Consider the following 14,944-nt stretch of genomic DNA (forward strand, 5'->3'; position numbering starts at 1 on the left):
TCTCTGAGATGCTAGCATGCATTGGTCACTGTCCCTTATGGCACTTGCTGTGGTTGTTTTTACAGCACAAGGTTCTTTTGCAACAGTTCAATACGGGCGATGAGAGAGCCCAGAAGCGCCAGCCTATCCGCGGCTCTGATGAAGGTGAGAACCCTCTTCCAACTAACTCGTAGTTGTATAGATTATTTAGTCAGGATAATGGTAAGCATCACCTTGGACCCACAGAATAGCTTCTTTTGAAGATGCCCTGTTGCCCTCCAGATGGTTTGCTTGGAGGTGCCCTTTGGTGGCCCGATTATTTATGTCCTTAAACTCTTGTGCCTGAAGCCGAGATGCCTGTCTACCTTTCCCTGATTTGGCCTCTCCCTGCTTAACCCCTTTCCTTGGAGGAAATGAAGATGATCTCAGGGCCTGGTTGTCAGGATTGCCCACCCCTGGGAAAAGCTGGTGGGAAGGTAGCTGGCGCCTAGTGGGTGCCAAGGAGACAATGGATCACCAGCATCCTGCCCAGGGACAATGCTCTGGCCCTGAGCCCAGCCCTGAGCAGGGAGGCTTTACATCAGGAAGATCAAGATGCTGGCTTTTGTTTGGTTATTTAAGATTCTCCAAAGAATCACAACCAAAAATAGTCACAATAATAATGATAAAAATTTCATTTAAAGCTATAAATAAATCTTGTCATTTAGGACTGCCTCTAAACCCAGGAATTATAATATAATAATGGGAATTGCTCCCAGGATTTTTGTGTTCAGAGTTGAGCCTCTGGGTGCCATATCCAGATCTGCTGATCTAAGTCTGCTGAGCTAAATAGCATCCGAGCTTACATGGCCTGGCCCCAAAGCACACAAGCCACTGAAGCAAGTGAGCAGGAGTGTCAGCACGTGCTCATGGCCCAGGCGGAAGCCCTCCTGTGTGCAGAGAGGTGAATGGTGTCTCCCCACTGCCACACAGGGTAGCAGTGATCTGTGAATTGCCTACAGTATAGCACTTCAGACCCTGAACATCAGCCTGAAGATACTCTCAATTTTTTCCCATGACCTCTTTGTGGGGTTTTCACCAATATCTCTTGTTCTTTTAATTGGACTTGGCAACCATATGTGCACCTATTCTTAGACCAATGCTAAGGTAAGCAGTTTAGAAGGGGCAGGAATAGGGGTAAATGAGTATGAATAAATACAGTAACAAAAATGGCAAAATGATGCAAATTGGAGAGGATGCCTAAACATTTTTCATAACTATAGTTTTATTGAAAACTCTTAAGAGTGATTTACTACCTTGTTACTGCCTTTGGATAGTTCTGTTTAAGGTCTATTGCATGGACCACACCTACACAACCATTCGGGTGCCAGTGGCCACTTCGGTGAAGGAAGTCATCAGTGCAGTTGCCGACAAGCTGGGCTCCGGGGAGGGCCTGATCATAGTCAAGATGAGTTCCGGAGGAGGTAACAGTCTTAATTCATATTTTAGGCTCTGCAAAATGGGACATTCCATCCAAGCAGAAACTATGTAAGGAGTTAGCGTGGTCATGTGAGGCTCACCCAGAGGATGAACTGGTGCTTATGTATGCTTCCACTAATAACAGAAACAGTATGGGTAGAGGTGGGTTGGGTTTCTAATGTCCCCTATCTGGTAGGTACCCACTCTAAATCAGAAAGGTGACTGGAACTGAGGACTGTCGTGTAGATGTTGGCCTGGAGTTCTTTCAATTTAAACTCTATTCAAAAAAGTTTTAGGCCTTGGAGCCCTGAAAAATATGGGCCCCAAGAGGAAATCTAGCTGGACAAGCTCAAGGCCATGGGTTTCTACAAGTCCAAAGTTGGAAGTGGTCAGAAGCTAGTTCTTTGAAGCTGATGATGGTTTTTCTCCTTACTCAGTAGAGAGGCTAGGAGCCTGGCTCAAATGAAATGAGGAATATTTTTCCTCCACGGGATTACAGTTCCTTTCACTGTCCTTGATTACATGGTGCATTTTTGAAATGTCATTTATTCGTTCATCACATATTTACTGGCCACAGTGTGGCTACGAAGGAAAGAATGAGTTAGACACAGCTCACGTCCCCAGGTTGTTCCCAGGCCAGGGAGGAGGTAGACGGTAAGTTAAAACAATTACAGTTCATGCTGGCAAGAGTTTTAGGAATGACCACATATTGTAGTGAGAGACTAGAGGAAGCAACAGTGAGGTTCATTTCTCCAGTCATGATTTGACAGCCATTTGGCGGAATCCTTCAGGAACAGGTGAGCCATTTCTGTCATGTTTTAAGGTGAATGATTCCACTGATGGAGGATTTTTAAATGCATGTTGGATTTTAAGATCTCCCTTCCATTTCTGCTCCAGTTGCACAAGGCCCAGGATGTCTGCCCTCCCTGACCCCTTGTCACCTTCCCATAGATATCCCAGGTCTCACCCTCACTTTCTTTCAGTCTTTACCCAAATGTCAGTGTCTCACTGAAGCTCCCTCCTTCATTTGCTTCATTCCCTTTCTAAAATGTTAACTTCTTCCCCTTACACAAGCTTCCTAGACCCCACCCCTGTGATATTTTTTTCTCCTTGCCTTCTCACTCTGTAATCTATTTCTTTTCTTTATTGTTGGCATCTCCCACTATGATGTAATGCTTTTTGGAGTGGGATTTTTTTTCTGTATTGTTCCCTTCTGTCTCCCCAGTGCCTGGAGCAGTTTCTGGCATGCAGTAAATACAAAATAAATGTTTATTAAATGAACTAATTTTTTAATTTTTTTGACATGTTCTCATCTGAAGAACTAATTTTTTTAATGTGGGAGGAGGCTTAATCTAGTTAATGCTATTGCCCTGCAAATTAGGGAATAAGTGAAAAAACAATAGTAAATTTTGCATCTAAAATCATGTGAGGTCTCAGAAACCTCCAAAGTTTTTAAAAAGTGATCTTTCTATGTCCAAAGTCCTGGGTGTGATTACCATCTGGAAACATAACTTGTGAGATAAATAGCCAAGTGCGGGTTTTATGTGCTCAGTAATTATGGTTGCAGCACAAAACTGGGTGAATTGACCCTCTGGCATCTCTATTCCTTTTTGTGGCCATTTCTGAAGGCATCCTGAGTGGCGCAGGGCTGCATGAATGCCGTCTTTTTTATTCCGTGGATCCCTTCAGTACTCTATTTTATGCAGTCACTCTGCGTGTTCCGGTAATTCACCAAGCTGGCAATTTGTTGGTGTGATTAGGGCAGTGCAGCAAATCTCAGATGTATTTAATAGGCAATCTCATGCTTTTTATGTTCACAGAAAAGGTGGTGCTCAAACCTAATGATGTTTCAGTATTTACGACGCTCACCATTAATGGACGCCTGTTTGCTTGCCCGCGAGAGCAATTCGATTCACTGGTAGGTGTGGATGGCCTGCTCAGAGCAGCATTGCAATCAGAAAAACTTGTCTGGAGCCTAATTTTGCAGTCACACTGAACCCAGTGGCTAAAAAATCTTGAATGGTACTTAGCTTTTTCTTTTTCTGCAGTCTATTAGGTAAGCCTCAGGTGTTCATTTGAGATGCTCAGGGCTTTTGATTTTCTTTTGTGAAAATTAGCCAAGTAGCACCACTATTAGGGCATAATTCAGCTTTCAGAACTCTTTGTTGTAATTCGCCTCATTGGTATGTCCCCAGTTTAAATATTAAGAATCTGAATACTTACACCAGGATGGAAATAATTTTTCTAAAGCAAGATATCACTATTTATCAGGCTCCTTTGCATTATGGCAAAGCCACCATCTGATCTAAGAGAAATGCTGTTCCCCAAAAGCACTTTCTCTACCTTATGCAGAAAATGGCAAAGTCCAGACCCTTCCCTAAGTCTCCAAAAACACTTGTTACCCAGCATACAGACAGATCTTTCTGTGAAGAAAAGACTAATAGGACCACACTAATAACTGAGTAGCCTGCTCTCTTTTAAGTCGGTGGTAGCATCCATTTCTATTTCTCCTACCAGAATTTGGTATGTAGGTGAGTAGCTAGTAACATATCTTAGAAAGCCTAGAGGGCCAATTCAGAGGGTAGAGAAACTGGTTTCTTCAGTCTTTGGATACACGGGGTTTCTCCTTTAAGAAAGGCACAAGACCGAGCGTGGTGGCGGGCGCCTGTAGTCCCAGCTACTCAGGAGGCTGAGGCAGGAGAATGGCGTGAACCCGGGAGGCGGAGCTTGCAGTGAGCCAAGATGGCGCCACTGCACTCCAGCCTGGGCAACAGAGCGAGACTCTGCCTCAAAAACAAAGAAAAGAAAAGAAAGGCACAAGACAAGAGCTAGAGGTAAACTGCATCCAATTTTAGGGAGAGAGTTTACATAAGGGATGCATGAGTAGGTTTCAAGTTTGATCAGATCAGCTCTTATAGATATCAAGATTCTCTTCCTTGGACTTTTTAGAGGTTGTTTCAGGCTCATCATAATCCTGATTTTTTGTTTTAGAGAGTACCATTTTGTGCACTCCAGTGAGGATAGGTGGATTTTTACCATATTTTGAATTCACTTGGAGAGGAACTTAGCAAATGTGGCATTAGTTTTCCTGCTAATCCCTCATCCATCAGAGCCCATAAGCACGCTCACCTTTCCTCAATCACCAGCCTTATAAGATCTGAGTCTGCCTCCCGCCTTTCCGTATATTTTTTTAGTCATCTACATTCATTGCTTTCTAAATAAATATTTCTCAATACTGAAGGATTGGGGAAAAAAATGTCATAAATGAGTCGTGCTGCCCTCTCCTGGAAAGGAAAGCCATAAAAAGCCAGTTCAGCGCAGCCCCATTAAAGGTGCTATGTGACATGTTACTGCACGGGTGCTGGGGACTCTCTTGCCAGAGGGTTCTTGGCCGCAGTGCCAAATGACATGGCGCAGACACAGGGAGTGCAGACTGTCTTCAGCTCCCTGTGGGGCAGATACTAACTTTCTAAACCTCTGTTTGTTGGCACACAGTCCTGCAGCCTTCCAAGTTCTTAGTCCTTGCTCGTCCTCTGTTTTAAGGCCTCTGTCGTTGGAAGGAATGTCCTCTGCATTGAGTACCCTGGGCATGAACTTCTTCCCTATCAGCGCTCTGCCATTCATTGTGCTGTGAGTGGCCAAACCTTACCTGCCTCACATAACTGTGGACAATGAGCTCCTTCTCTGGCTTTCTAAAGATTCCCTTTGAGGACAGCCCATCGAGGAGGAGTCGCACAGAGGATGACCCTGCAGTAGAGAATGTTGGCCACACTCTCTGATCCATCCACACATGCTTCTGCAGGGTCTGCTCTGTGCTTGGGGCTGTGCTGGCTTCTGTGAGACACTAAACCAAGTGCCCCAGAGCCTCTGTCCTTACCGCAGTTACGCTAAAGCCAGAGAGATGAGACTAACACAAGCAGCCTGGAATAGAACAAGTCTTAGTGTTCAATGTTAGCCTTAAATTGTGTGGTCTATAATAGAATCAGTAGAGTGCTGGCAAGTTAGCCTAGTGGTTAAGGGTTCAGATTCTGAAACTTTACTCTTCACATTTTATTTAAGTATAAATATCAGTACAGAGCAAATTCCTATAAAACTCCATTGTAGTATAATGTGATTCTACTTTTGTCCATTCACTGGTTCCTCAGACTTTTATTTAGTACCTACCACATCATCGCAGGCATTGTAGATGGTTCTGGCTCTAAAATGGTCTTGAAGACAAAACCATCATGGTCCTTGTACCTCAGTGAGCAAACAGTGTAGTGAGGCACCCCCGCATGTGACCAGTGAGAATGCAGTGCAGCAAGGGCCATAGCAGAGCTAGACACAGAGGGTGTGGGCACACGAGGAAAGGAAGATGCTCCGGGTAGCTTACCTTCACCATCTCTTTGTCACTGACAATCCACACATCCCTTTTATGTCTTAGTCTCCTCATCTGGAAAATGGGAGGATAACAATGCTACTCTCCCAATTACCCCTCTCCAGCCTTAGCAAAGAAATCATGGCTCAAAAACCGTGGGGAGAAAATGCATGGGAGTTCTGTGTCTGTGGGTAAGCAGCTTTCAGATCTGTCTGTGCGATGCAGGCTCCACATAAGCTCTGCTGTGCCTTATCTGTAGGACATTTCCACAGGGCTATGTACAAGAAAATGGCCCAAGGAGGCGCTTCCTCTGGGGTCCAGGGTGAGCATTTATATTCCCCACTTCTAAGGGAGAAGCACCTTTTGCTGCTCACATTGCCTCTTCCGTGGCTCATGGAAGGGGTCAACCTGCCCTACGCCGGGAGAGAGACTTGGTGAGCCCTGCCCACTGAAAGAAAAGTTGAGACTCAACAGAGCTTTCCGTTACTCTCAAAAGGGTTGCAGGAGTGATAGACCAGCATCCACGACTAAAAGAACTTTGCATATTTCTTAATATTAGACTCTTCCCTGTGTTGTTAGGTAAACTTGTCCCCCTTATGTAAAGTTATAAAGCCTCAAGGAAAAGAAGGAGCAAGGTGTACTGGGTATCTCCAATCCTGAGGAGAGAGCAAACAGCAGGAATAACGTAGGAGGGGCAGCTCCGCAGAGCAGCAGAAGGGCTGTGTTCACAGCAGCTGCAAGAGGGAAGGAAGAACGTGCAAGGCCAGTTTGATCCTCTGAGAGGCAGTCGTAAACCCTAAAATGTATAAGCTTCCCCAACTTTTTTTACCTAGGACCTACCCTGGTTGAAATCATTCTCCTCATTTGTTTCCATATGCTACTTGCCCATCAGCTTCGGTTCAGTTCCCTAAGATTTAAAACTTTGGAATCACTTTTCTTCCCTGTCCTCTGTCCCCTGTGTAGAGTAAATTGGGAGCAACAGTATTTCGCTCCTACATCCAGGTGTTGTACTGATCACACTTTTCTGTGTATTTGCATTGCTACAGCACTTCTTTTTTTTATTATTTTTTTTTTTTTTTTTGAGACGGAGTCTCGCTCTGTCGCCCAGGCTGGAGTGCAGTGGCGGGATCTCGGCTCACTGCAAGCTCCGCCTCCCGGGTTCACGCCATTCTCCTGCCTCAGCCTCCCAAGTAGCTGGGACTACAGGCGCCCGCCACTACGCCCGGCTAATTTTTTGTATTTTTAGTAGAGACGGGGTTTCACCGTTTTAGCCAGGATGGTCTCGATCTCCTGACCTCGTGATCCGCCCGCCTCGGCCTCCCAAAGTGCTGGGATTACAGGCGTGAGCCACCGCGCCCGGCCTGCTGCAGCACTTCTAGAAAGTGAACTGATTTGGGGGAGGGGACCTCTTTTGTGCCAGGCACTGTATTTACATGATTCACTGAAATCACTCCTATCCAGTTCTCTTAACAAGCCTAGGTATAGGTATCATGACCCCAATTTACCAGAGCTGGAAACAGACACTCAAGAGATTAGGGAATCAATCCAAGTCTACACAGTTAGAGTAGGGTTTATATTCAGAGTCACTTGCTCTCTAAAGCTGACACTAACCTGGTCTATTATCTAGTCTATTACAAAACACAAACTCCTAATCTGGTACACGAAGATGTGCTACTAACTGTTCACACTGTCCATGGGGACCCCCTGTGCTCTCTGCTCCTGCCAAGCAAGTTTCATGACAGCTTCCCCATCTTCATGCTCTTGTTGCCATCCTTCCACCCCAAGGGACCATCCTGGATGCTCAGGGAAAACCTTGCTATTCTCACCTGCCCAAGCTTGTCTGCTTCATCTTTTAAAGCCCAGCTTCTTCAAGATCCTGTTCAGACCACACATTCATTCCAAATACCCAATAACTTCCCAAAAATTCATTCATGTTCCCCTCCTGTTTATCTCTGTACCTGGGTGTCACATGTGTTGTTGCTTCTGTCCCTTTATACCTGCAAATAAGGACCAGCAGCAGATGCTGCCTCTGTGGAGTGCTGTATGGGCCAGACAGGGTTGATTCCCTTCAACTGTAACCTTGCTTGGTCCTCTCTTAGACTGTAAACTTCCAAATGCAAGCACCGTCTACCTGCAGAACATGTAATTTCTCTAGTGCCCAGAATGCAGTGGGAGTTTGTAGAATACAGTGATGATGATGAAAATGATGATGGAACTTGTATAATATTAGGACTTCTGACATGGATAGTATCTAAATATAGTTAGCATCATTTTGTTTTTATTTTTTATTTTATTTTATTTTTTTGGAGATGGAGTCTCATTCTGTCGCCCAGGCTGGGGTGCAGTGGCACGATCTCGGCTCACTGCAACCTCTGCCTCCTGGGTTTAAGCGATTCTCCTGCCTCAGCCTCCCGAGTAGCTGGCACTACAGGTACATGCCACTACGCCCAGCTAATTTTTGTATTTTCAGTAGAGACAGGGTTTCGCCATGTTGGCCAGGCTTGTCTTGAACTACTGACCTCAGGTGATCCACCCGCCTTGGCCTCCCAGAGTGCTGGGATTACAGGCGTGAGCCACTGTGCCAGCCACTTTTGTGACTTTTGGAACTTTGTAATGTGTGTGTTGCCTATTTATATATAAATCTATTGCATTATACGTGTGCTTCCTATATATGCATATCATTCATCTCACTAAGTAAAAACACTTTAGATCATTTCTCATAAAATAAAACTGAGATAAGCAAGTCAGATGGAAACTTTTAGTGAGGGGTCTTCCAGAAAGTAGCAGACGTTGGCTTTCTAATGTCTAGCCCAAAACACCATAACCATGCGAATAACATCCTCAGCTCAACATCTGCCCAAGAGTAGAGGGATCAGACATCATGTGTAACCTCAGTTCACAGAGCTTTCCATTCCCTCATGACCCCAGGCAGTGTGTCCCAAGAGATGGAGAGGCAGCAGTGTTACCATGGCCACCGGCAGCAGGAAGTAGCACTGTGGATGAACGTCCCAAACTGCCATGCCGTTACCTGCTTTACAGCAGCTTCAGTGAGAAATAGGAGAAAAAAGGTCTCCCAGGACTTCTTCCATTTTTACCAGGGAAAAGAAGAGTTTCCAGGGACCTCCCAGGCCTGAGTGTGAGAGAAGAGAACCTCTGCAGGTCACTCTTCACTGAATCTTATTTGCCGCGGTTCACATTTTTCAGTCAGTGGAATTGATGGTAATGATGATTGGTGACTTACAGACGACACTAAAGCAACTAGCGTTGCGAGCAGAGGCATCTCTCCTCAGAGTTTCCAGATATTCCTGAAAGCGTCCATCTCCAGAATCCTTTCCCCTCAGAAACTCCTGAAAGCTTTTAGTGCTAAATACTTGTCTGTGTTGAGTTTCTGATATGTTTTTGCATTATTATTCATAGACTCCCTTACCAGAACAGGAAGGCCCAACTGTTGGAACAGTGGGAACTTTTGAACTGATGAGCTCCAAAGATTTAGCATACCAGATGACAATTTATGATTGGGAACTCTTCAACTGCGTGCATGAGGTAAGATGCAGGATCAGATGTGTTAGTAGCTGAGATAGCAAGGATAAAGGCTGCTGGCATTGCTTAGTTTGTAAGTGCTAATATGTGCTACAATATGGAAACCACATGACCATTTTTTTGCATACTGAGCTTATAAATAAAGCATGCTATAAAGCCTTTGAGTATTAAAGAAAAATCTTTACAGTATGCCGTGTCTTCCTGTGTATATTAAGCCAGTAAAACCTAGTTTATATTTATATATTTAACAAACCTCATGGAAGCCCTTCAAGTCTGATTGACTTCACATTTGCTGACCAGTAAAACACTGTCTTGACAAATAGAGAAACCTGCTGGTGTTTTGATTTAAAAAAAAATAAGCAAAATTGTTTTCCTTTATTTTCTAGCTGGAGCTAATCTATCACACATTTGGAAGGCATAATTTTAAAAAGACCACAGCAAACTTGGATTTGTTCCTGAGGAGATTTAATGAAATTCAGTTTTGGGTCGTCACTGAGATCTGCCTTTGTTCTCAGCTCAGCAAGCGTGTTCAGCTATTAAAAAAATTTATTAAGATAGCAGCCCAGTAAGTATATTTAGCTTGGAAAGAGAAAAAAAAATGTTGAGCTGTGTTTTCATTTTGTTTTCTTAGACTACACCTTAAAAAGAAAAGCAGGATCTAGGAACTGCTAGAGGGCCAAACACAGGGTCTTAGGAATAACCAAACTCTTGTAATGGATCTCTCCTATATTTTGTAGCATTTAACATCAATAGATAAATTAACTTCTTTACAGCACTGATGCTGGAGTCGAAGTTGTGACCTCTCTTTGCTCTTTGCTTTCTACTCAGACGGTTTTGCCTCCTTTAGTTTAAAATTCCTTCCGTAAACCAAGTTCCCTTATACTTCGAAAGTTCAGTTGAAAAGATCTTGAAGTCAATGTCCAGCATGACACATTCTCACCAGTAGAGGGCAGTGCAGCATGCATGTACAGCAGCACATCCAGCCCAGACAGAATTAAATCGGTAAAATGCATGCGAGCTAACCTGGTACATGAAAATCATCACTACAAACATCAGAAAAAGAAGCATCTATCTTATAAATATTCTATTAAACAGCACTTCATGGGAAACAATTTTTTTACTACAGGGGCCAGTTAGAGTTCTCCCTGACATGAATTTAATCTTCTCCTGCTATTTAGATATGCCTGACAACCTCCTGTTTACTTCCATGTTTTTGGTATCACCACAGTGCTAAAAATAAAATGCTAAATGTGGCCTATGGCTGTGAGACTTCTTTCCTTTCTAAATGCAGGGAGCTCTAGCACACAGGAAGGCTGAGAGCACAAGTGACCCCAGCTAGACAATTTTCTTGACCCAAAATCAAACATGGAGTTTGATTTCCTGGGCTAAACAAAGAAGTAAAGGCTGCTTGACATTTTATAGATATCAGTTTGCCAGATGCCTGGAATTATTTGCCAACAACTTGAGGGTTCAATAGAATACCAAATCCCTTGGATTCAAAAGCTGCTATCTGTTAATATGGCAAAGCTGGCTATTTTAAGAAAGGCTTGGTAAAATGGTGCCTGTGAATTTCTGGTTCAGAGTATAGCCACTTCCCTGGTAGTCTGCACAGCCTTATGGCAAGGGACAAATGCCTTCACATATTTGGAATGAGCTGATTATGGAAACTATGACAAGATGTGCTTTCCCGTTAGAAGAAGCACACTCTCTCTCTTCACCTTAGCCTGGCAGTGCCCAATGCAACAAGAAGAGAGAGGCAATCTGCACACAAATGTGGGAAGCCAGAAAATCTTTTGGGGCCTGATCCTGTTATTTTACAGAGGCAACATGGGAGAGCCTTTCAGAACACCCAGGACTTTTTTTTATATATATATATTTTTGCTTTTCTTATCCCTCTCCCTTCTGTTTAGGTGAATGAGTAGGTGGACTTGGCCTTCAGTATAAATTAGTTTATGTTATTTAACCATTATTAAGCCCTGTGCTACATTTGCCGTCCTGTAGAGAAGCTATTTACACAGCCCAGCTGAAGAAGACTGTAGACTTTTTAAATCCGAGATCTACAAGAATGAGGTTGAAACCTCGTGACAGTAGCATCTGTTTTACTTTATATTTTTAGAGAACTTCAACATATTTGTTTTAAGCTCTTTGCCTGCCCAGAACTGTGTGAAGTTGGTGGAAGCAGATGTTCTTATTCCTCTGTTTACATTCGTGGAGGCATAGAGAAATTTCATGACTTACATAGGGTAATAAAGTTAGCTGATAACAAGGCAGTGACTAGAAAGGCAGGTCTACAGCCCTGCATTTGTTCTTTCAAGATCACATAAAGGACAGAGGCAAACACATAGATGCGATTGTATACCTGCCTTTAGCCCCAGGTGTCTTCTAAATAACCTTCAGCTCCTGAACTCAGACCCATTGTCCCAGCACACCAAAGGCCTCACTTGCTTTCTCACCAGTGGGACCATACACACTAGCTTCTCTGAAATATGTTCTCCATCTCCACACAGACAATTTAAGAATTACTCTTTGCTACCTTTGCAATGGGTAGCAAATGCAACAATTTAGTCTTTTTCAAAAATGTTAATCCAAACAGGATTTCATTATGATATGGTCAATTTCGATAACCATATTGATTCAGGATGAAGGATTTATGCGTATTGCAAAATGAATTCTTTCCCTTTTCAGGGACCTGGTATGAAGAAGTTTGGGGTTTCTCTTTCTAAAAAATGGTTAAACCAAGTACCTGTGTTAAACATCACCATTCTAATAAGAATTTCTGTTTTTTTCCACATGTCTCATTCCCAAACATATATTCATAAAAGCTAATAATGGCGTAAGTACAGATTCAAAATGATCAGCTTCATTGATGTCAGTAAAACACAGAGAAGGTTATTTCTTGGTCAGTTGTTTAGGTTACTTCTCAGCTTTAAAATTCCTTGAGATTGAGTGCCCAGCCTATAGAGATCACACCTTATAAGTTGATATTTTTCAACAAACAAGTAGCATTTGCATGGCAGGTAGAAGCCATGGTGGCTGCAGCTGTGAGACTCCCTTAGTGCCCTCTCAAGCTGCCAGAGGAGGATATCCACCTTCAGGCTAAAGGTCTAGAAATCTCCAAGGGCACTTCACTTTTTTTCTTACCCCATGAGATATTTCCCTCTCGGTCCAACAAGGCTTTTAGCAAGTTTGGGATTATAATAACAACCCCTAAGGTAGGTGTCTTTAAGTTCCTTCTCAGATCCCAAACCTCAATGGCTAACGTCTTCAACTTTCTAAAAACACAGTGAGAAATCAAACAGCAGAACATGGTCACCCAAGTGGAACTTTTACAGTACATTAAATCTATCATTGCCTGTTCTCATAAATGAGCCCTGACAAATATTAATGACTATCAGAAAATAGAACTCTAATTTTTTTTATCTCACACAGAAGTAACATTTTACTCAAACACGCATCTCCTGTGTTTCAGCTGTAAGGAGTATAAAAATCTGAATTCCTTTTTTGCCATCGTCATGGGACTAAGTAACGTTGCTGTGAGCCGCTTGGCACTAACGTGGGAGGTAAGCTTCAGCTAGGATCCAGCTGTGACTTTTGCCTTAGGAATAAAAACACAGGCTCACCAGTGAGCTTTTTAATAGAAATATCACTCACACTAGTATAACAATGGGAAAGGTGGGACACTTGGAGGGAGGTGACCTGTCTCCTTTTTCCAGTTGCCTCAGAGGGAGAATTTTTAAAAGATATTGTCCTTTTGTGTATGGAGAGTGGGGGAGATGAGGAGATGTCTACTTCTTGATATATGCAATGTAAATAAAAATAAGTCCAGTTCCTAAGTATAACATGAAGGACCCACATTGCTGGGAATGACTTCATAAGTTTGCTCATAGATTGTATTGTTTTCTGAAATGTCTGCTTGTTGCTTTTGCCATAAATCTTATCTTTAATTGAAAGAGGACAGAAGATCCATTTTTATCCAAGTACTCATTTTGCTTCTGGAAGGAAGAGCCAGGAAGCCAACTGTTTGCAGCAGTTGAGTACTAAGTGTCGCCTCACCACCTGGCAGACTTCTCTCCACGGAGAGGAACAACAGTTGGCTAATATTCAGTTTGGGGCAAAAGTGAGGCAGGTGTGTTGTGAGTCTCTGTAGCAAATATAATGAATGGTTTGTCGAGAGTTGGGTATTCAAGCTAGAAAACATCTTCATTTATTATTAGCTTTGTACTCAAAATGTGCTTGACCTCTTACACGTGGCATATAGTTGAAGAAATACTAATCTCTAATAGAACATACATACAGAAATAGACTCATGCTAAAAATAAAAAATTGTGTGTAAGTGGGACACAGAAAGAGGGCAAGGAGTATGTATTAGAGACCCAACTTGCAATGGTGCTTAAAGGCAGCTGTTTGCATCTCTAAATGCTTTTCTGAAATTATTTTCTTCCCCATGTCCTTCTTGCAATGATTTTCTTTTTCCGTCCCTCCTAAATGTTTCCATTGTTTGTAGGGCAGGTCCTCACAAGTCCTTCTGTCTTGGGTTTCTCTTAAAATTCCAGGCAGATGCAGCACACAGCAGCTCATCCCCTGAATATAGGAATGAGGGAATTGGTGAGGCCTGCGTGCCATGCAGCTATATCATCTTCCAGCTAGTAAAAGGACGGAGCTCGTGCTGCCAAGAGATCTAAGCACAAAGCCATAATGCAACTCCCTCGTCTTATAGTCCAAGGCTCTTGGGATTGCTGGAGACCTAGGGTCCTCCTGCAAAGAGTCTGCCTTCCCCAGTCAGCTACCAGCTTCTAATCCCCCTGCCACAGAGTCCAAATTAGTTGGTTGGGGACATTTTAAAAAACCATAAAGCCTCAAAGGGTCCAAGGAGGCCAGGTGTGGGTACCACAGATCAGCCAGACAATAAGAACAGAGCATGTGGGAAACACTCTCTGAACCCTCTTTCCCAGTCTAAATAAAAAAGTAGGAGGCTGCTGAAGAGGGTGCAGGCAGCAAAAGGAGATAGCTAACTGGCCAGTCCTTTGGTTTCACTAGGGATGGGAGTTCTGTGAGTCTATGAGCTTCTGTTTTCAGCACTGAATGTTGCTGAAAAGAGGAAATTATCCTTTCATCATTTATAAGCCTTTGTTTTTTAAGGTGAAGTATAATTATATAATTCTGTATGGGAGATTTCATTCCTAAGCACCTTTGATTCTAGTTTATGTACCTGCACTTGCCGAGAAAACCTCCCAAAAGCCTCCCATGCAACTCCATTGAGCACCACAGTGACCACAAGAGCAGTGTGAGAAATGCTGCCTGGCCTCATGGAACTAGGGGACACGTGTGGAACAGCCACGGAATAAAATAGAAAGGAAAGCCAGAGCACACAATAAAGGGAAGGGTTCAAAACTGAGGGGGAAGATCAAGCTGAGATGAAGCAAATGAGAATTACCTGGAGCACACACACTCTCTCAGCCTCAGCACTGGTGACATCTGGAGCAGAACAGTTCTTGGTCGTGGAGACGTCTTCTCTGTTGCAGGACAATTAGGAGCATCCCTGGCCTCTCCCCACCAGATGCTGGAAGCACCTCTTACCATGCCCCACCCCGGCTGTGACAACAAAAAAAT

At 43.3% G+C, this 14,944-nt stretch overlaps 1 protein-coding gene across 28 annotated transcripts in view; it reads left to right on the forward strand.

Moving 5' to 3' along the window:
• The window catches only part of RAPGEF4 (Rap guanine nucleotide exchange factor 4), a 317,576-nt gene that overhangs the window by 282,043 nt on the left and 20,589 nt on the right, over positions 1-14,944 (forward strand). For 25 of the 28 annotated variants that reach the window (NR_164739.1, NR_164740.1, NR_164741.1 and 22 more), the window contains 6 exons: positions 66-144; positions 1,296-1,442; positions 3,258-3,355; positions 9,212-9,337; positions 9,721-9,899; positions 12,804-12,894. Coding sequence is in view for 25 of the 28 variants with exons in the window: in XM_047443030.1 (XP_047298986.1) it covers positions 66-144; positions 1,296-1,442; positions 3,258-3,355; positions 9,212-9,337; positions 9,721-9,899; positions 12,804-12,894 (720 nt within the window). In the remaining 3 variants the exon portion in view is untranslated. The remainder of the gene's footprint in view (positions 1-65; positions 145-1,295; positions 1,443-3,257; positions 3,356-9,211; positions 9,338-9,720; positions 9,900-12,803; positions 12,895-14,944) is intronic. The other 3 variants (NM_001375868.1, NM_001375871.1, NM_001375865.1) reach the window with 2 other exon arrangements.

The sequence above is a fragment of the Homo sapiens genome, chromosome 2, assembly GCF_000001405.40.
Source record: "Homo sapiens chromosome 2, GRCh38.p14 Primary Assembly".
In the NCBI taxonomy this organism is placed as follows: Eukaryota; Metazoa; Chordata; class Mammalia; order Primates; family Hominidae; genus Homo; species Homo sapiens.